The 21,856-nt window shown below is 46.3% G+C and overlaps 1 protein-coding gene across 16 annotated transcripts in view, besides 1 other annotated feature; it reads right to left on the reverse strand.

The window, feature by feature from the left end:
• ERI3 (ERI1 exoribonuclease family member 3) overlaps window positions 1-21,856 on the reverse strand; it is a 134,210-nt gene that overhangs the window by 85,913 nt on the left and 26,441 nt on the right. For all 16 annotated transcript variants that reach the window (XM_017002305.2, XM_047430152.1, XM_047430144.1 and 13 more), the window contains 3 exons: window positions 12,646-12,762; window positions 6,187-6,246; window positions 1,328-1,419 (listed from right to left, as the gene is read on the reverse strand). In XM_017002305.2, the coding sequence (XP_016857794.1) occupies window positions 1,328-1,419; window positions 6,187-6,246; window positions 12,646-12,720 (227 nt within the window). In that variant the 5' untranslated portion in view covers window positions 12,721-12,762. The remainder of the gene's footprint in view (window positions 1-1,327; window positions 1,420-6,186; window positions 6,247-12,645; window positions 12,763-21,856) is intronic.
• Window positions 7,673-7,842: an enhancer, noted in NCBI's record as "experimental_8150 CRE fragment used in MPRA reporter constructs". NCBI's record gives its function as "activates a minimal promoter by MPRAs in K562 erythroleukemia cells, with activity observed for both the introgressed and non-introgressed 1:44780412 variant alleles {active_cell/tissue: K562}" and the evidence as "EXISTENCE:reporter gene assay evidence [ECO:0000049][PMID:34662402]".

Genomic DNA, 21,856 nt, shown 5'->3' on the forward strand with positions numbered 1-21,856 from the left:
AACAAGAGTCTTCTTCCTCTACTCCTTTTCCATGGACTCCTCCTCTGATTCATATCTGCTTCTAGTCCCAGCCTGTATAATTTCCCTGACAAAGAGATGTCATGTGGGAATATGGAGACCCTCTGGAGTAAACCAAGAGGGGTGCAGTCAGTTTGTGTACACACCTGATGGGTGTGGGAGATGAGGTCTCTGTGTGCTCATGTGATTTGGGGCCTTTTCTTCCTCCTGTCTCACCTAGAAAGTTGGGGTCCAATAGCAGGCTTGACACCCACCTGGGTACATAACTTCACCTCAATGCCCAGCATTCAAACGGCTTACAAAGGGCCTTGGTGAGGAGATGACACCTGATGTGGTAGAAAATGTTACTGCAGAGCTACTACACCACACCCCTCAGCAACATCCCACTTTATGCTCAAAAGTTCAAACACACACACACAAACACACACACACAGAGACACACACACGGAATACTTGCTGCTACCTTCAGTCACAATGAACACAGAGGTAATCGATTCTATGACTCCTCAGCAAACAGTGCCCCCACCACCTCCATCCCACTTCGGTTCCCTGGGGGCCATCTGAAGCCATGTATCCATGAGGGCAGACAAGATGCACAAGTGTCAACCCAGCAAAGGAACCGGTTCTGTCTTCCATAACCGGGACAGGATCAGGAGACAAAGGTAAAAAAGCAGTGGGGACAAAGGAGGAAAGAGGAGGCTGGTGACGTGGGCAGCTTCCCGGAGCAGCCCTCTCTCATCCCACCACTGGGCTCCCAGTTGGTTCACCAGGGTCTTGCAGGCCAGATAAAGGGGCAGCATAGTATAATAGTTAAGAGCAAGGACCTGAGTTTGAATCCTGGCTGTGTGTCCTCTGGTAAATTACTTAACCTTTCTGTACCTTTACTCCCTCAGCTATAAAATAGGAAGAATAATAATGCCTACTTTATATGGTTGACAAATAAGTTACTATATTTAATTACATAGTAAACATGGTATTTGGCTTAAAATTTTTTTTTCCAAGACACTCTTTTAACTCCTCCCTTCCAGGGCAATAACACACAGCCCCAGCAATCGGAAGGGCTGTCATGAGCAGTGAGACCTGGCAAAGGCAGGAAGGCCCCAACCATCCAGGCAGGCCCTTGACTTGCCCACACCCTGCTCCAGAGAGGCAGAAGGCAGGGCTCCCAACCGTCTTCTATCCCTGATAGCCTCAAAGACCTGAAGAATCCCTGATCCAGCTGCCTTGTAGACATTTAAGCCTCCAAAAGGCCAGACCTGGTCCCACAGATTCCAAGCCCTGCCAGCAAAGCAGCCCTTCTCATACTCACATGACTTTTAAGTCCCAGTCTCCACAGGTGACAAAAATTGACTTGACGTTTGGATCTAAGAGGCCTTCCTTCGCCATCCATTCATCGACCCTCTGAAAAGTACACAAGAACAAATGAGATTTTCCTTTTTTTTCCCTGAGCCTGTGAAGAGCCACAACAGCAAAACACAGATAAGCTGCTTGTAATCAGAACAGGAGAAAATTGTAATCTTATCCAGCCATGGCTCCACTGTGGGCTCTCAGGCTTGGCTCAGAACCACGGAGGCATTTGGAAGACAAACCCTTAGGAAGATCCTGCAGCCCGAATGTGTAGCCGGAGGGAGCCCCTACACTCGCCTATTGCCTGGCAGCCTGCTCCAGATCCCAGCAAATCAGTTCAAATACCTTGCTCTGACTTGGCTGTTCCTCTCATTGGTCCCCTGGCCCAGCAGACAGGCTGTTGTCCTGGGGCATCAGAACAGGGTAGTAGGAGGCCCCAAACAGGAGCTCCAACCCACAGCTTCACTCATTCATTTATTTGTTTTACTCTTCTACCAAATGTTTATTAACCAAACTTACAAATTTGGTTATTCACCAAATGAAGGTGACAAACATTTTCACCTTAAGAGGCCCCTTTACTGGACTGGAGCCCCATCCTGACACCTGGGACAGTGCTGCCTGCTCCAGTTGCTAAAAGTTCAAAACTGGCCCCCAATTTCGTATTTCTCCTGTTCATGGTTGAGGATTCAAATTCAGCAGAATATTTTGAAGGCTGAGCTCAATTGCTACAAAGGGAGAAAAACTGCTCCTAAACACTCTAAATCTTTCTTTCCCTTCATCCCTTTGATCAGTTTATTTGTGTTCACACTGGAAATTCAAATACTAAAATCAGTATACAACAAGAGAAATATCATAAACAATTCAAGACTGGGTGTGGTGGCTCAGGCCTGTAATCCCAGCACTTTGGGAGGCAGATGCAGGTGGATCACTTGAGGCCAGGAATTTGAGACCAGCCTGGTTAACATGGAAAAACCCTATCCATACTAAAAATACAAAAATTAGCTGGGTGTGGTGGTGCACGCCTGTAATCCCAGCTACTTGGGAGGCTGAGGCAGAAGAATTGCTTGGGCCTGGGAGGTGGAGGTTGCAGTGAGCTGAGATCACACCACTGCACTCCAGCCTGGGTGACAGAGCGAGACTCTGTAAAAAATAAATAAATAATAAATAAAAAGAATTCATGAAGCATTGCCTTTTACAGAAGACCCCAGGCATGGAGAGGGAGTCACACCACTGCTTCTACCCATGCAAGAGATGTCACCCAGGCTGGAGTGCAGTGGCACGATCTTGGCTCACTGCAAGCTCCGCCTCCCGGGTTCACGCCATTCTCCTGCCTCAGCCTCCAGAGTAGCTGGGACTACAGGCGCCTGCCACCATGCCTGGCTAATTTTTGTATTTTTAGTAGAGACGGGGTTTCACCGTGTTAGCCAGGATAGTCTCGATCTCCTGACCTCATGATCTGCCCGCCTCGGCCTCCCAAAGTGCTGGGATTACAGGGGTAAGCCACCACACCCGGCCACGAGATTATTTTTTAAGGCTATCTCACATAGTCATTAAAAATGCAGGATTGGAAGTCAGACACATCTGGATTCCAACCCTCCAACCCTTGGCTATTCCATATCCTGGCTGTGTCACTGATGGGGAGTCATTTAAAAGTCATGTAACCTCTCTGAACCTCAGTTTCCTTCATCTATAAAATCTTACACAGAGTTGTTCTGAGAATTAAATGTGATAATGTTTTAAGTACCTACCACAAAACAGGTAATAGGCTGAGAAGGGGAGAAAGGCAGATCATCATAATACAATAGATCCAGCACTGGAGACGTGACCACAGTGCTACAGGACCAAGAAGAGGAAGTGGCTAGCCCTACCTTTCACAGGGAAAGGAGTCAGAAAAGGCTTCACAAAGAAGATAATTGAACTAGGAGCCTGACATGGTGGAACATAGTAGAGGATACTACAGGTAGAGGCAAAGGTACATGTGCAATAATTTTGTATTTGAAGCAATTATCTGTTTAATGTCTGCCTTCCCTGCGAATATAAGCACCACGAAGGCAGGAACTCTGTCTTACTCACTGCCTTAATCTCTCATTCAGCATAGGATCTACTCAAGAGATATTTGCTGACTGACTGAAAACATGAGTAGGTAAAAGTTTAGGATGACTTAAGTCCACAGTATATAGAAAGAAAGGACAAAGGCTGGAGGACTAGGTTAGGCCAGACCGTGAACGGCCTCGTGTGCTCAGCAGGAAAGAGACAGCCCATGGATATCTTTAAGTATCTTAAGTAAGATTACTTCTAGCAGGTATAGGCTGGCTCCCTGGATACCTCTGAGATGCTAGAGGCCTGGCCCATGCTAAAGTCATCCTTGACTAAGGCCAAGGATCCTACCTAGTTCCGTGGCTATAGCAGCTCTACCAACCAGAATATCAGAGCTGCTCCCCGGTGCCAGACTATGCAGACCATGTGGTCTCTAAACCCTCTTTACAGTCTGTACACCAGAAAATCCTCCTCAGCCAAAGAATCTTCCCAAAAGATAAATTCTGGATCTTCCACTGCTAAATGGTCTCTCTCCTCTGACCCAACTCCTTGCATGTATGTGCACATCGCGCGCGCGCGCACACACACACACACACACACACACACACACACACACACACACACACACACACGTGCAGGAATCCATGAATCCTTTCCCCAGGGTCACCTAAGAAAAGAGGTAAGGTGAAACTAGGGCTCCCTAAATCAGCATAACCTCCCCCAAGCTCACTGTTTTATATCCCCAAGTTAAGTGCCCCACATACTAGAGGGGCTCCCCAGTGCCCCAACTCCTGCACAGTGAAAGAGAGAGCAAGACACAACAGGAGGCCACACTCAGCAAAACTGGGCCCTTATCACAGGAAGCACTCAACACTCAGTGGGGTCCCTGGAATCTTAGGACCCCGGCCATTCGCTTGCACAGCAGCTATTCAGTGAGCACCTTTTACCATGAGTCAGGTAAACATCTAGCTGGCTGCCTGCTAAGGGCCTTGGTTCGGACAAGAAATGAGCTCTTTATCTCCATAACCAACTCAGGACTAATGAGATGAAGCAGAGCCCGGTCCGGTCTCCTACCTGCCAGAAACTCTCTATTCAGGCTGATACCAGGAATTTTCCCTCCTTACCCACAAAGTATACAGAAGTAGCAGAAAGTAGCTTCTTGGGTGAGACCCAGAATTCTTTAAGCACCCTGCTCCAGGGCTGGCCTAGGGTTAACAGGGGGTTGCCTCCTCAAGACCACATCTCCTCCTCGACTGGGGCCACTGAGAAAAAAAACCCATAACCTCAAGAGTCCTGGTTTGCTGCTGGCCCAGAGCAAGTATCTTCCTCCAGGATCCCAGCTACAGATGTTCCAGGAAAAAGGTGCCTGTCTTCTGGCATCCCTCAGGAGCCAGGTCCTGGCTGGGGATGGTGGCTGGGACAGAGGAAAGAATGAGTTCCCTCTGTCTCCTTGAGTCTGGTTTAACAGGGAGCAGTCCATGCTAAGGAGCTCCCTTGGTCATAGGAATGAATCTCTTCAAAAAAAAAAGATGGTCAATATGGCTGGGAAGCATCTCAGAGCTCATCTTATCTTCTCCCAATCTACCGCAGGTGCCCAAACTCTGACTCCCAACCAGACTGGTCACAGCCTAGGTTCCCACACTCCCAGGGACAGGAAATACACTCTGCCACTGAGGTGAGCCTAAACTTGCCTCTCTGACCCTGGCTCCATCCTTGGGGGCCCCACGAAATTCAATCTGCATCTCTCTCCTCCATGGGACAGGATCTCTCGGCTAAAAAAAAGGTATCTTGCCCTGCTCCCTGCCACTACGCTACTTCCTCTAGGCTGCACACCTCCAGTGCAGATGTGCCCTGCTATTCCTGCAGATACTCTGCTTTCTCCTATGCTTGATAAGGTCTGAGCTTTGGCTTTATTGGTCTTAAAAAATAAATAAAGCACCTAATGAGATCCACGGGCTTTTTCTCTTCTCCCCTCCCCCTATAGAGAAAGACATGGGAGGGGGACCTTCTCCCCCTGTGAAAACCTCCAGGCCAGAGGAGGGTGGGAGACAAGCTAAGACCAAGCACTGCCCTTCCTTATTCCCTCGGGCTACAGCGCAAGAAACAGCATCTTAACCTTTTCTAGCTCCCCGAGGAGAACATCCTAGAAGTGTGGTCTCTGCCAAGGGTTTTCAAGTCTTTAATTTGATTTCCCTCACATAGGCAATTGTTGTAATTATTCTGATTAGGAATCATTACCCAGTGCAGCCTCTGCACCCGACAGGCACAATGCATCCAGCGGCAAGCTGCAGTGGGGCAGGCGGGCCCAGCCACAGCTCCTGGAGGAGCTCTCAGCAAACAAAAGCCATCGATGCGGAGTTCTGGGTGAGTTAATGAAGTGCTCACATGCCACAAGAAGCCAACACTAAAGCTAAACAAAAACACCTCCAGTCCCTGGGGCTAGTCCCACAGTACCAAGCTCAGCTCCCCTACTCCCCAGCCCACCCAGCATAGGCTACCCCAGAGTCAGCCAGCATAGGGCCATAGGCCAGGAAGGGGTGGGGGCCCCTCTGCCTGACTCCTGGCAGCACTGGGACATCTTGTCAGAAACCCTGACGGGAACAGCTGGAGATGACAGATCAATGGTTCAATACTCTCAACAGCATGTCACTGATGTGACAGCAAATGTTATTCTAATCAAGCCATAATCATAGTCAAATTACACGGCTACATTCTCAGGAGGGGAGGGAGAGAAAGGCAGCAGGAAGGGGTCAGAGGTCAGGAATTAAAGGTCACTCAACCTACCTCCAGCACTTGCTGCAGGCTTGGCTGACCATCCACCATGGCTTGAATAATCCCGGTGAGCTGAAAGGAAAGAGAAATAGCCGATGGGTAGAAAACCAGGGTGAAGGGACTCAAGGCTGAACAGGACCCCTTCCTTTCTGTTTTTCTCCTTCTGTTGTAAAGGGCTCTGATCTGGCACTGCTTTAGGTTCAGAGCCCACCTAGAAGACTTGGGAATAAAGTCCCAGGACCCAGGACACAATGTGTGCTTCTCCCATAATATCCTGCCCTGAGATGGGTGTACACATACACATGCTGACCACAAGGCGTGTTCTCACACCTGTTTCCACAAGGCATGTTCTCACACCTGTTTCAGCTTTCAGTTTGCAAACAAATTGATGTTACATGTCTTTTGTATTCAATAGGCTCAATAACTTCCCACAATTACAGTCTCAAGTAAATTCAGCTCCTAGCTTCACAGAAGTTCCCGTAAAACTTGGGGAGTGCTCATACAGGAGAGGCACACTTGGTTTCAAGTCCACCCCTTCTCTGAGCCTTGATATCCAGCACTGCCCCCTCCCACACTCTCCCTAACACCTTCCCTAACATCCATGAAGTCCCACAGGCTCCTATCCTTCACCCTGCATACGTGGGCCATCAATATGAACTAGCCAAGCAAGAGACAGAGTCATCTTTAACCAATGGGGAAACTAAGACAAAAAGGCCTAATGTTCAGACTATGACCTAGAGAATTTCTGACTCAGGCCTATGCTCCACCTAGGTCAGGCCTGGGTTCAAACAAGCTTGTTGTTTTGCTTTGTTTTGGTTTGGTTTAAAGTAAAAAAAAAAAAAGACTGGGGATAGATTGCCTACAAGGATCTGAGGGCATGAGGCCCCCATGTCCTGGACACCAACTGGAAATCACCACCCCCAGCATGTCCCTGGCTACTTCCAGAAAGAGCAGTATCTCAGACTTGCTTGGAAACTTCTTTTTTTTAAAGTGTGTTGGGGGGGGGGAGATTAAACTCCAATTAAACTATAATTACACTTAATGAATACCAAATACCCAACTCACAGAAATTGCTGGCTCTAAAAGGGAAGGTTATTTTCTCATGGTGACTTACATGGAATGGTAATATACACCTTTTAGGGAGAAATTTTCATTTTAAAAACGCTGAGCTCCTCTAGGTGGGTTTCTGTAGTTCATCAAGTCATTATTAGGTGGTATTTTAAGGAAGTGTAAGGACACAGCCACTCTATTTTATATTCCAGAAACTGTTTTTATATTAATCTGTATTTTAATTGGGTAACAGCTGCTGCCTACAGACTTCCCATGGTCTAAAAGGAAAATAAATTAGAAAGATTAACTACACTGTTGTTTTGCAAAGCTTTAACCCACAGCATGCCCACCCGGCTGGCACCTCCACACCCTTTCCTTGCCTGGAAGACCAAAGAACTGCCCAGTAGAGGGAGGGCCTGAGTCAAAGAGAAGAAAAGATGGTCCGCTAAGGGCTGGGGGGCTGGGAGTGGGGAAGTGCCCTCAGTCAGCAGCTTCAATAATCTTGGAGTACAAAGGACTCCTCCTTTTATTTAGTCAACAACTATTCATAGAAAGCCTACTACGGGCTGGGCCGCATTACAGGAACTAGAGATCCGGCAGTGAAGAAAAATGTAAAAACTCTGCCCTCATGGAATACATGTTCTCAGCAGCCCCCTCCTACACCCAGCCCCAACTAGTACCGAGAGCCTCTACATCTTCCAGAGCCGCAAACCGAGCAGGCAGTTGCCCTGTTTTGCCTCAGGCATGAAGGGGCCAAAGAGAGTCAGGAGGAGGCTTATTACCAACCCCAGATTAGTGACAGACACCCACAGGCCCACCGCTGCCCATTCTGGTCCAGCTTCTCTCCTGTTAAGCCTAGGGCTTAGACACATCTTCAGGCCTGGAGCTGAGGCTCAACATCAGGACCATCCTGGAAAAGGCGGACCACAGCCACTCTCACTTCTTAGGAAGCTCCAGGGTCCAAATGTTAGTCTTGTGTCTGGTCTGAGTTTCAGGCGGCAAGGTTAGGTCCACTCCTTCTCTTGGCTCCCACCAAGGGTCTCTCAAATGAGCTGAATGCCAAGGGCTTAAAGAAAGTCTCACTCACACAGGAAAGCAATGCACCCTTGCCAAGAGCCCTCCCTCCCTGGAGATAAGGCTTAGGTCAGCACCTGTGTGTACCCCATAAGCCCCTGCCCTGGGCCCCAGGAAAATCACTGATGTGGGGCAAGAAAATCACTACACCAAAATGGAAAACCAGGGTGCTGCTCTGGTGTTCTGCTGCAGGATGCCTCACTGCAGACTAAACCCAACTCTCCCACCTGGAGCTGGGGAAATGGAGCTCCAGCATCCTGGGGCTTTCACAAACTCCACTCCAGTGCTCAGTGATCCTAGAATCATCAGCCTGGGAGGAGCCTAGTGAGGTCAGCTCCTTCTCTCACCATGCTTCCCAGACAACAGCCATTTTCATTTGTGGCTCAGTAAAGCATGGCTCACAGCTGAGCTCCTCAAGGATTTGCATTTAGCCCCCAGAGACACAGGGGCTTGAGCAGTTGGCTCAGCTAGACAAAGCCTTCTCAGGGAAGGCCTCAGGCTCCTGTATTAATCCCTCCAAGGATGGACCACCCCTTTTCAGCTCTGCCAAGGCACTGGACAAAGAAGGGATGAAATTAAAGTTAGTTCTGGGCTGGGCATGGTGGCTCAGCCTGCAATCCCAGCCCTTTGGGAGGCTAAGGCAGGAGGACTGCTTGAGCCCAAGAATTTGAGACCAGCTTATGCAACATAGAGAGACCCCATCTTTTTTTTTTTTTTTTAAGTAAAAATTAGTTCCTCTACCTGATACTAATGACCTATAAGACACGTGTAAGGTTTATACAGGATGCTATGAGGGAACGAGACAATTTTATCAAATTAATACTGGGAAGTTCTATCTTAGGCCTAACTTAAATCCTTCATGTTACAGTTTAAGCCCAGTCCCACTTGGGTTAATACATGTTTGTAAAAAGCTTTCACTCCTTACAATGAAAGGTACTAGAGCAAAGCCAAGTATTACTAAGCTGAGAACCAGGGCTCACAGGCTAAACAGAGCTCAGAGACCTTAGCCACTTAAAGCAGGAGAGGTGAGAGGAAGAATTAATGTGTGCTCTGTGGCTCCTTTCAATGAGGGATTACAGATTAACTCCCACTTCTCCAGACTCAGAAACCACAAGGCAAGGGGCTTTTGACCCTGACTGATAACATGGCTGGTTACTGAGATCCCCTACCCTCACAAGGGCTTTGTCCAGGAATGAGCTGGCTTCATCAAGAACACTAGCAACTACAGGAAGCAGCCCAGGAAACTCAGTGCCAATAGCATGTCAGCATCCAGTGCTTTCTCCTTTCACAGTTTATCTCCAACACAATCGTATTCTGACACCAAGACAGTTTGTTGATTACATAAGCACTTGTCTCTGGTGTGCAATCTGATAATCAGACCCACTCTTTCTCTTCAGACAAAGAGACCAATAAATCTCACCCTTTATAAGTACAGGTGCAAGACAAAGCCCTTTACTGGCACTTAGCAAAATGAGTATTTCTCTAGTTTTTTTTTCATGATAACAACAACAAAAAGAAGACATGGTTAGGGACTGTGCAGCAGCCCAGCTGCTAGAGATAGAGACTTGATGAACTGGAGCAGATTCTAGAGGTCAAAGGGAAAGGGCTCGGGAAGGAATGAAACACATCCCATCCTATCTCTGTCAGAACCACGTCTCCAGGCCGACTCTCAACTGAAACTAAGAAGGGACCTCAAGAAGGGTACTAACACATTCCTAATATGAAGCAGTAAAAGTAGGAGTCTCTCTGTGTGTGCTAGAGACTTGTTCAAACTGGAATCCTTCTTCCTACTGTCCAGCACTGAGCCTGCTTCTCTCCCCAAGCATGTGCCCATGTGTGTGCACATGTCATACGCATGTGCGTGCACACACACACACACACACACACTGGGGTTAAGAACTTCTTGTGCACAAGAGAGAAAATCCTGCCAGAGGAACTACTTAAGTATAATCTGGAGGTTTGGGACTGTTCCTCACACTTACTAATGAGAGATTTTCTCTGGTTGGAATGACCTCCATCCCCACCCGCAAAAGGCACCAACTGCCAGGTTGGATGAGGTTTCAGAATGACAGCCCCCATCCTGTGTCTATGCCTCTCGGAGATACAATTCCATCTGGTATGGAGACAGGGCAAAATATATATGATCTGAGGTTTTCCAAACAAGACTTTACTTACTTACTCAAAATAACAAGTCAGCAGTACAGTTGTTTTTGGGAGAGACAGAAAATAACTCCTTGACAATATTCATTCATTTAAGGGACACGTATCAAGTGTTTACTTGGTAGCAGACCCTAATGATGGGATGGAGATGGATCAGGTCTAGTTTCTTCCCTCAAAGAACTTATAGTCTAGTGAAAAGACAGATAAATAATTATAGTATAAAGTATCTGATCAGTTCTATGTTGGAATAAGCACAACTCAATCTGGGGATCAGGGAAAGTGACCCTAAGCAGAGTCCTGGAGGTCAAGCAGGAGTTGGCGGGGAGAGTGGGAACTCTGTGCAGGCAGGAGGACCATCATGTGAAAAGACAGACTGTAAGAGGGCAACCTCTGGGTGAGGGGAGCTAGGTGGGAGATGAAGCAGAGAGATATGAGGCTGGCCAAAAAAGGATGGACAAGATCATGGCGAGTTTTGAGCTCTGGAAACCTGAGACAAAATGGCAGACCCGGTGCCTACAGAACAACCACATTTTCACTTTTAGAACAGCCTTCATAATAAAGATCCCAACTACCACTCCTACTCCCCTCCAAATTATGTATGTGCATCCTTGGGTGAAGCTTTCTAGAGAGAAGAAACTGTTCATCATAGTCTCACAATCCCTCCTCCCATTCCCACAAAAAGTAGCAGCAGCAGCCTTACTCTAAAAGAAGTCCCTCTTCTTCCGATACTCTCAAGCATCCACTCCTGCCCAGGGTCCAGCTCCAGCAGAATACTGTTACATTCCTAAACAGGTAGCAAACTTACTAAAATTTGGGCCTGCCTGTCTACGTAAGGACAAGAGGACATTAGCCTTTCAAGGCCAGTGGAGGGCTCAGGTAACTGGCTGGCTTAAAGAAAGTCTTTCCTTCCCTTCGCATAAGCAAGGGAATTTTCATCATCATTAAAATGGTGATTTTTCAAAAAGGGCAGAAAAGTCAGATTAGCGCCCCCTGGTGGTATAGGTAAATCCCAGGGGAAAGGGGAAACCCCGGCAGAGGAAGGCGAAAACCAGAACCCAACATCATTAGTTGGAATAACAAAAGGCTTAAGAGGCTAGGCGCCTTGGCAGATGGATGCCTGCAACAAAAGCCCCACCTGGGTCAGCTGGCAAACACTGGCATCGAATTCAGGAGCAACCTCGAGACCTCCTGTCTGGGCTAAGTCAGCCTCAGGGCCCACCAGGGTCAAACAGGCTCATCCCCAGCCTTCTTACCAAGGAGACTGTTTGGGATAACTCAAGAACCCTTTTTCACCTATTTCATTCACATGTAGAAGATAGGTCTCTAAATGAAGGCACAAAGTCTCTAATGTACCTCAGCCCCAGACTCTTAAAAGATTCTCATCACCCCTGCTACCACACATTCTTAACCCCTGATTGCACCACAGCCTGTTGGCCACCACTGAGTGCATTACATGACATGTCACAGGGAAAAGTAGCCACAGAAGACTTCACACAGTTCTGGGAGTTAGAACTTGCAGGGGCTCCTCCCCTCTGCCAATGGCTCTTTTGAGCCTCCAGCAATCATTAAAATCTCAGTTAGGCCCAGTTTCACAATCTGTAAAATGCAACCAATACTAACCTGCTGACAAGGAGGCCAAGTACAGTACCCACCTAGGATAAGCAGATTTCAGCCTTGGCCAGCCAGGTCTCATGCTTCACTGAGACCACTCTTCTCTTCCCTCGGTGACAGAATGTACCTTCGACAAACTCAACCTACGCTTCACACAGGACCACTTTACAGGAGGACAGAGTAACAATGCCAGAAAGCTAAGAAGGCCTGAACATAACCCTGCCTTCCAAGTGGCTGAAATCTTTACCTCTTGCCAAGGGGCCCTAAGGAAAACTGAACTGGAAAGAACTTGAACCCCAGAAATGCCATTCTGCTCCTGGTCTCCAAGTGCCGGTCACCAGGAAGGGATGCTGGGGAAGCAGGGGTAGACTAAGCCACTGCTCTCCCTGGGTCCCCAGTAACAACAGTGACCTGAGTGGAGTGGCAGACTTCATAAAACCTAACTGCTAGGTCTAGTGTGCACTTGCCTTAAGGATTGATAAGCCCTATGCTTTCTCTAAGTGGCCTATATAGAGCACCAAGGATTCCAAAATTCCCCTCCCAGCAGCCCCTGCTGCCCACTTCCAGGGCCCTTACCTCTGTACAGAATGGGGTAAGCTGTGGATGGACTACAGGCTGGACATACATGTGAAAGGTAGACTCAATCTCCATGGTCCGGCCATTTAGCTTTAGGATGGGGAACTCGATGATTTCCTGGAGTGCCAAAGATACAGAAAAGGAAAAATAAGTTATTGTAATCAACCATTTCCAACAGTAGCTCCAAGTCAACAAAGAATGAGTGTTTTGGATTCATTAGTGTTTTGGGTTCATTAGCTCCTGCCAGGCCAAACCCAAGATTGAGTGAGACGGCACCAGCAGTTACAATCCTAACCTTCCCACTGCTAATATCCTCATAGGTTCCAGGGACTGAACACAGCCCTCATCCCCATTGTTTCTGGAAATGGGAAGGAAGACAGTGGTATCATCTGCCCCAGTTTCTCCAACTGGTTCTCTAGCAGAGGCTTGCTAACTTGAGCCCCTAAGAATACGCCCTTCTTTCTCTTGCCCAGGTCCCTGTCCTGAAATGGGTCTGATCTCCTGCCATATAGACAACCAGCCATCAGACCAATGCATAGATTTCCTTGTATGAAGTTTGAACCAAGCTGGTAAGTTTCTTCATTAGTTCTTATTTTTCAAAAAAAGATAAAAAATAAAGCCAAAGGGGATCCCAAAGAGAAGGAGAAAAGAGTAACAGTAATAGGAGCTAGCGCCTCCCACCTTTCAGGCAGCACACACTACCTCTACAACGCCAGCCCAATCGCTTAGCTAGCCTTTCCCAGTCCACTGAAACATAATGGAAGAGAAGGACAAGGAGTGACAATTTGTTTGGTGTCTCTAAGATTAATTTGTCTCCGCTATTTAATAGAGATGCACAGCACCAAGGTCCTGGTGTGCAAACAGGCTTGCAGAACGCTGGCTGTGCAGCACGCCTCATACATCGCTCCTGGGAAGGGAGGAACGCACCAGAGTGGGGAGAGGGCAGAAGAGAGCACGTGCGTACCAGAGAGAAGAGGGAAAGCGAGGAGAGAGAATAAAAAAAATTATTGCTTTTTAATATTCAAAAACAGTTTGCAAAATTTAATCAAAGCAGAGGAAAAGCTAACATTTTTACCACTTTGACATTTTTATTAGCGCTTTCATAAATTTTTAAAACATGAATGGAATTAGTTTACAACACAAAAAAAAACTGCCCTGAAAACATCTGGAAGAGACAAATAGGAAATAATAAAAAAAATAAATAAAAGCAAAATTCTCTGAGTAAAATTAGCATGTGGAAAGGGCCTCCACTGCAGAGAGAAAGGAAGGGGGCTCTGCCTATTCAGTGACCCTAATAGTCAGCTCCAGCAGCACCCCTTCCCCAGGTCCTTCATTCTGGAGAAGACCTTTCCAGTATCATTAAAATCAAGGTAAAGTGGTTCTCTCCAGAGACAGCCTGGAGAAGCAACACGAAACGGATGACACCTGACTGCACTTAGGAAATTGATGGGTGGGAAAACACAAGGAGAAATGGTCAATCTCCTTGATGTCCCAGGAAAGCCAGGTATCCTCCCGGCAAAACATACCCACTAATATTGGGCTTGTTTTTAAAGCATCTATTTCAATCCAACACATCAGGACCGAAAACCAAATCAAGTCAGTCAGACTTCATGCCAGAGAGATTCAAAGATTGTGGTTGCCTTGTCTCCGTGGGCTGATCTCCAAAGATGAGGAAGCTGACAGGAGCTTATTCCCAGAGATAGAAAGGGCAAAATGGCTGCAAGGCTGAGGCAGAGGGGAGAGAAGGGAGGCCCAGACTGCTGCTTAGACCAGGTAATACCTCTCCTTCCAAGGTGAAGAGAGGGGGACACTCATTTCCCAATTCCCTGGACCTTCTGTTCCCCAAGAAGCATTACATACAGAGTAAATGGGGGTTTGGAACTGAATAACAAAATCGAACACACACCAAAAAAATACACATTGGTCCCCCTGCAAAATCAGGTATCCAGGATTCCAAGAGCCAACTCTGAGGTGTTGCCCATGAATCAGGCTCATCTGACTCCTGATTTTTCCGATGTGTCCTTCCTCTTCCCCTAAGTAGAAGAAACACTTCCTCAACAGAAAGAGCTCTATAGCCTGGTGAGTATGGCTGCCCTGGTGTCTAAGGAAACAAATACAGCCAGCTCCTCACTAACAATGTTAGCTGGGCCCACAATGAAATTTAACCTGTGACACAACTGTACTTTTCATTTAAACTTTCATTTGGAGAGCAGCAGTGTTTGGAGACCTACAGTTTGTCCTGCTAATAAAGACAAGTGTTGGGACCTTTAAGGATGCCATTCATCTTTGGCTTTTTATTAAATTCAATTTTCTTAAGCCCATGATACATTATGAAATTAGGAGTTGACATTCCTCTGGAAATAAAAATATCTATCAAACATTAATAGAAAAAAACCCTCTATTACCAAGAATTTATGGCTTAAAGTTGATCTCTTTCCACTTTTTTACAAGCACATGGTTTGTTTTAGATATCCGAAATGCTATTATAGATCTAGGATTTCATTAGTATTTATTATAAAATAGTATGTGCTTCAGCTTCCACTCTGACCAGCACCAAGTCAACATCCCCAGCAGACTCTCTGGAAACTTGGCCTTTGGGTTTCCGCATTGCAGCAAATAACAGCAAATACTGTAGCTCAATATTCAAACTTTCCTGATGTTAGCTTCCTCACCCATAGGGAAATGGGGCCAACTACGTGCTGAAACTCAGTGCCATGCTCCCAGAGAGGAAGAACAAGCCAGACTCGGATCCACGCAAAAAAAAAAAAAAGGAGGGGGGTAGGCCCCTGAAATTCCCAGGGTGCCTACACCCAAGGCTCAGGACACATCAAATTGGGCCTATTATAAACATATCTCTGATAATGCTAGCTCATCAGCCAAGCCTTCTCCCCAAGACCAAGAAGAGGTGGTTTCAAGCACCAGTCTCAAAACGTGACTTTGCAGGGGCCCTTCCTCCACAACATGAGGAGCTGTTATTAACAATGAGCCTACACACTGGCATATTCACTTGAGCTACTGAGGATGCAAAAGAGAAGCTTCTGAGAAAAGACTCTCTGAGAAATTAGAGCAGCAAGGACCTCACTGAGGTACTTCTTACCATCCCATATTGCCCAGCCAGTACTTCCATACTTCCCAGAACCTCAAAATACTGGCCCAAACAGCCCAGTAGTGGGAGAGGTGCCCCAATCTGCACCAAGTTGGCACAACTCTGCAGCCAGGGCACCTGAAGCATGACAAACATTTTGAAGATTTTTAGCTGATAATGATCAGAGATGGAACCCCAACACTACAGGTTAGTGGCATTAATCCCAACACAAAGATTTGTGACAATGTGCCCAAGTGCCAGCCTCTATGTCCAGTTGCTCAGATAATGAAACTGTTATTCCTGACCCTGACCTTTTCTCTCAGCCAATTTCATCATTCCCCTAGGAAGAGGTTTATTTCAGAAACAGTTTTGTGTAAAAGTAGCACCAGGAAGGAAGGAAGGACCAGTCGTATTTACCAGCCCTCTTTCCCTATCCTAATAATAGCTTTACAATTCTTTGCCTTTGTATGCCATTTGCATTCAATTAAACTACCTGAGTGCCTACTTTGTGTAGGCTATCAGACAGGGGCTGGAGCAGGACTAGAGATAAGATGTAGTCTCCACTTTGGAGAAGCACATGGACTATGAGTGGAAAAGATAGGCAAACAAAGAACAGTACACTGTGATAAATACCTTAGTGGAGGGACGTACACAGTGTTGTTTTTCCATTCACAAAAGTGTAGTTTCACATACATTTTCTTATTTTACCCTCCTTAATCCTGGCAGACAGGTTACATCATCATCACCATCACCATCTTCAGGTCATAAATCAATACTATTAAGCATCTACTATTCACCAGGCAGGGGCTGGCTGTAGACACAGAGATGAATACAATGAAAGGTGGCTCCTCTCTCTGAGATGCTCAAGTCTGGGCAAAGGGTGAAGAGGAGCTGGCCTCCAGTGCTCTCCAAGACATGTGGAAAATGCAATCGTTTTATTCCATTTATTGTTTACTACGTGGCAGATACTGTGCTAATAGGAATGATCTCATTTAATCCTCCTAACTCATGAGGTGGGAATCATAGTCATCCCTATTTCACAAATAAACTAAGGCCCAAAGATGTTAACTCACTTGCTGACACTTACACTGCTTGTGAGGGACAGAGCTGGAACTCCAAAATGGGAAAATGAGAATGAGACTTAAGAGTAGGACTAGCAGCTTTCAAAATATGAAGGGTCAAGAAAGATCTGGTTCTCTTAGTCTAAAAGGCTATCCTGTAGAGAACTCAAGTCTACCATCTAGAAAGAGAGGCTGCTCTCAAATTTTAAGAGCAATGAATGTGGACTCTCCAGGCAGAAAAGTTCTAGAGTTTGCTACTGAAAAGACTCCACCATGGCTGCAGTAACACAGATGGCACAGATGGCATCAGGGAAGGCAGGAACCATGTGCCTTCAGTGTGATCTCCAGCACCTAATTCCTATGCTGGCACACAGGCTTCACTCTCTCAACTTTTGTTGTGTAATCACATGAAAGGGCTGCTAAGTGGAGGAGACAAGCCAAAGGCCTAGCTGTACCAGAAGACACAAAACTCTCCGCAGAATCAGAGAGGGGAAATGATCTGCCTAAGATGTCAAAGATGGTCAGTGGTACAGCCAGGATTCAAACTCAGATATTTCACAGTTCAAAGCACTTTCTACTAGATCTACTCTCATCTCTGAGTGGTTTCCTCCCTGAACTACTATAAACCACCAAATCCCAGTCTTACCTAGGGTAATCAACTGTTTGGTTGATCAGGACCAAGGGTTTCCTGCAACATAGACTCTTTTTTTTTTTTTTTTTTTTTTTGAGACGGAGTCTCGCTCTGTCGCCCAGGCTGGGTTGCAGTGGCGAGATCTTGGCTCACTGCAAGCTCTGCCTCCCGGGTTCACGCCATTCTCCTGCCTCAGCCTCCCGAGTAGCTGGGACTACAGGAGCCCGCCACCACATCCGGCTAATTTTTTTGTGCATTTAGTAGAGACAGAGTTTCACCGTGTTAGCCAGGATGGTCTCAATCTCCTGACCTCGTGATCCACCCGCTTCAGCCTCCCAAAGTGTTGGGATTACAGGCGTGAGCCACCGCGCCCGGCCAACATGGACTTTCAATGCTAACACTGAAACACCATTCACAAACTACCTACAGCACTGGGCTGTCTGCCAACGGTGGATGAAAACTGGCCATAACTTAACAGCTAAGAACAAAAGCCTCAGAATTGGGATTTTTCAAATATCCAAGGTTCCAAACCTATTGTACCTACTGTCTCCCTCAATATTGTCCCTGTAGATCTTTTGTTGAGGAGAGAGAAGACAGAAATAAAAATGAAGCACCAAACAAGCATTCATCTACCTTGTAAAATGGGTTGGAGCAGAGATTTTAAACACAGCTTTTTTTTTTTTTTTTTTTGAGTCGGAGTCTCACTCTGTCACTCAGGCTGGAGTGCAATGGCACAATCTCCGGCTCAATGTAACCTCCGCCTCCCGGGTTCAAGCAATTCTCCTGCCTCAGCCTCCCAAGTAGCTGGGATTACAGGCACCCGTGACCACACCCGGCTATTTTTGTATTTTTAGTAGAGACAGGGTTTCACCATATTGGCCAGGCTGGTCTCAAACTCCTGACCTCAAGATCCGCACGCCTCGGTCTCCCAAAGTGCTGGGATTACAGGCTTGAGCCACCACGCCCGGCCCCTGGCTGCTCTCTAATTGCTCAGCTAGGAACCCCCAATGATTTCCTTGATAAACTGAGGACACAACTGCAACAGCATTTCAAATGAAATTTCACACCCACGATCAGTAGATTACAAGAAATAAATGTGTAAGTTGCTTTCGGGGTATTCAAACTCCCTCCAACTGAAGTGTCTGCAGAAATAAAAATAAATTTGAAGATAGAATAACAACAAGAGGATTTAAGCAGAAGGCACTCAGGTTAGACTGTTGGGATTCATAAAACTGGGACAGAGGGTTTATAAATTCTGTTTTTTTGTTTGTTTTTGAGACAGGATTTCGCTCTGTCACCCAGGCTGGAGTACGGTGGCATGATCTCGGCTCACTGCAACCTCCGCCTCCCAGGTTCAAGTGATTCTCATGCCTCAGCCTCCCAAGTAGCTGGGATTACCATGCCCAGCTAATTTTTGTGTTTTTACTAAAGACAGGGTTTTGCCACGTTGGCCAGGTGGGTCTCAAACTCCTGGCCTCAAGAGATCTGTCTGCCTTGGCCTCCCAAAGTGCTGGGATTACAGGCCAGAGCCACTGCACCCAGCCCAGAGGGTTTAATAGAGTAGCATTCTAGCCCTTTTTTCCTAAGCATAGATTCTCCTCTGCCTGAGCTGATGTTTCTATGTCCTATCTGAAATAAGAGAATGAGCAGATCATTTTTCATGGCTTCCCCCTCCCAACCTAGGAAGAAGGAACTGGCTTTCCTTCAAAACAACTAATCTATTCCTTCAACCCTCGGAAGAAAATTCCAAAAAGTGTGTGTCCCTGCACTGAAAGGTTTGATAAAATCTAAAAGCAACACATACCACAAGGTAGAAAATGCAGTCCCTGGAAAACATGTGGGTTTTACCCAAATATTTAGTTTTGGATAAAAGTCTCATGCAAAGACGGGCCCTTTCTCCAAGGATCAAGAAGCCTCCTGGCCACAGGGAAGAGGGTAAGTTGGATGGGAGAAGTGAGGGCTACACTGGGCAATGGGGTATGGTTTGCAATAACAGTTTCTCCCTTGGAAAAAAAAAAGACATTTTATGCACAAGGAGCTTATTTCTTAAACAAACACTCGTGGTTTTGATTTACACCACAGTCTGCTCCTAAATAATTTATGGCGGGTTAAATTTATTGCCAAGCCCTGGCTGGCTGCAAATTCGAATTGCCAAATAATTAGATTTTAGGGCAAAGCTTATAAATTACCCGTCGATTTGTCCGGACTTGTTTGTCAGTTGCTTTGTGCTTCGGGTCATCTTTGGCATTTGGCTGTTTGGGTTTTAATTGCTGATTTACACTTTGACAGATGAGAGCTGATGCTCGAAGTTTCAGGACAAGGAAGGGTAAAAAATCGGAGCTTTAAAAGGCTGATTTTTCACCTACATGTCCCCCTCTCCCCATCTCCATAGACCCCAAAGCAATTAAAATATAGAAAAGAGGCTGAAAATAGACACTGCTATTCTTTATTTGAGGAGAGTATGGGTGCAAAGTGAATTATAATTTACCCTTATTGAAATCTGAATTTTTCAAAAACATAATACCAATAAATGAAGGAGACCAAGTCTTAGAAACCACATCCTCACCTGAGGTGTGCACACCTGTGTCTCCCTCTGTATGTACATGACTCAGAAACAGCCACAGTTCAAACATTTTTACATATTCAATTGTAAATAACTTCAGATATTAGTGGCTTCTGTGAAGCTGACCCTTCAAGGGCACCAAACAACCAAATGATTTGTTTGTAGCTACCTGTAGACACACATTTGTCATGAAATTAATTTAAACAAATCTCAGGTTATGTGCTAGAGAGGTCCCCTGGAGGCATCACTAAGGAAGGGCCTAGAAATGGAAGGGTGCCAAGCCCAAAAAAATCTCTCTGGATAGTACTCTGGTTCTATCAGTATGTTGATAAGAGGGCCTGATCTCTCTGTGTTTCCCAGAGAAGCAGGGCCTGCCTCCCAGTCACCTGCTGTATCTCAACAGCTTATTAGGAGGTTGTGGATCAGAATAATACTAGTACTAGTTCTACTAATAAGAGCTAATACCTATAAGCCATTACATATCAAACACTGTTTTGAGCACTTAATATGTTTAACTCAGTTTATCCTCCCATCAGTCCTATAAGATTGGTACTATTATTAACCCCACTTTGCCAATAAGGCAACTGAGGCATAAAGAGTGCAAGCAACTTGCCCAAGGTCAGACTACCAGTAGGTAGTCAAGACTCAAATCCAGACAGTCCAGTTTTGGAATCTATGCTTTTAACTACTATGCTCTACTGATTCTCATCAGAACAGCGTCTACCTCAGCTTCCCTCACTTTGAAGGTCCAGAGTCCACATTCTGGGACTTGGGCACATGCAGCCAAAGCCTGTTCCATCAGTCACCCAACAAAGTGGAGGAAAGGCATGTGTCTTGCTCAGGATCACAAGATGAATCAGAGGCTTGGTTAGACAAAGACCATTTTTCAAACCAATTCAAATATTGCCTTAAGATACACTAGCTGGGGGTGAAGAAATGGCGGTGAGTAACAAGTGATCAAGACAGGACCAGGCCCACTCAGGCAGACTGAGAATTCTGGTCAGACTACTTGGCCAGGAGCCAGGGAAGCTGGCTGGGCTACAGGAGGCCTTGCTCAATAATCCCCATCCATAGCCCCAGGGACTGCTGATCTCTTCACAGAATACTGCATGCCTGTGGGGTGGTTCATAGATTCCCTGTTCTCTGCCCACAAATGATGGCCAGCAGCCAGGAAGGTAAACAGTTGTGCTGGCATGACAATAGATTTTTAAAAATTCACTGACTAGTAAGCAAGCAATACACAAACGGATACCCGCCCCCCACCCCCGCAATGCACTGAACACATTTCTCACACACTGTCCCATATGATCCCACATCTCCGTAAGCAGGCAGGAATCACTCCCCTGTTTTGCAGATGAGAAAGCTAAGAGGGTCAGCTGTTGTCAAACCAGTCCCATCACTTGAGAACTTGTTAGAAATGCAAATTTCTGGCCTCCACCCTTGCCTTTCAGAATCAGAAGCCCTGGGGATGGGGCCAACAGCCTTGGTTTTAACAGCCCTCCAGGTGACTCTGACGCTCGCTGAAGTCTGAAGTTTGAGAACCGCTGGTCCAGACTACAGCAGTGTTTCTCAGACTTCAAATGACCTGAGGAATGTGTCAGATTGCAGGTTCTATTTCAGTATATTTAGTATATTCAGATTATATTTCAGTATATTCTATTTCAGTAGGGCCGGCATGACATTCTGCATTTCTAACAAGCTCCCAGGTGATGAGGATGCTGCTGGTTCTCAGACCACAATTTAAACAGCAAAGGTGTAGTCTAGAACATTTATGTGACTAACTCCTTATCGCTGAGGTACTGACCAAATGAGAATCAGAGCCCATGGCTCTCAGCTCCCTTCTCAGAGCAAACCCTTACTTGACCCACTTT

The sequence above is a fragment of the Homo sapiens genome, chromosome 1, assembly GCF_000001405.40.
Source record: "Homo sapiens chromosome 1, GRCh38.p14 Primary Assembly".
NCBI lineage: Eukaryota > Metazoa > Chordata > Mammalia > Primates > Hominidae > Homo > Homo sapiens.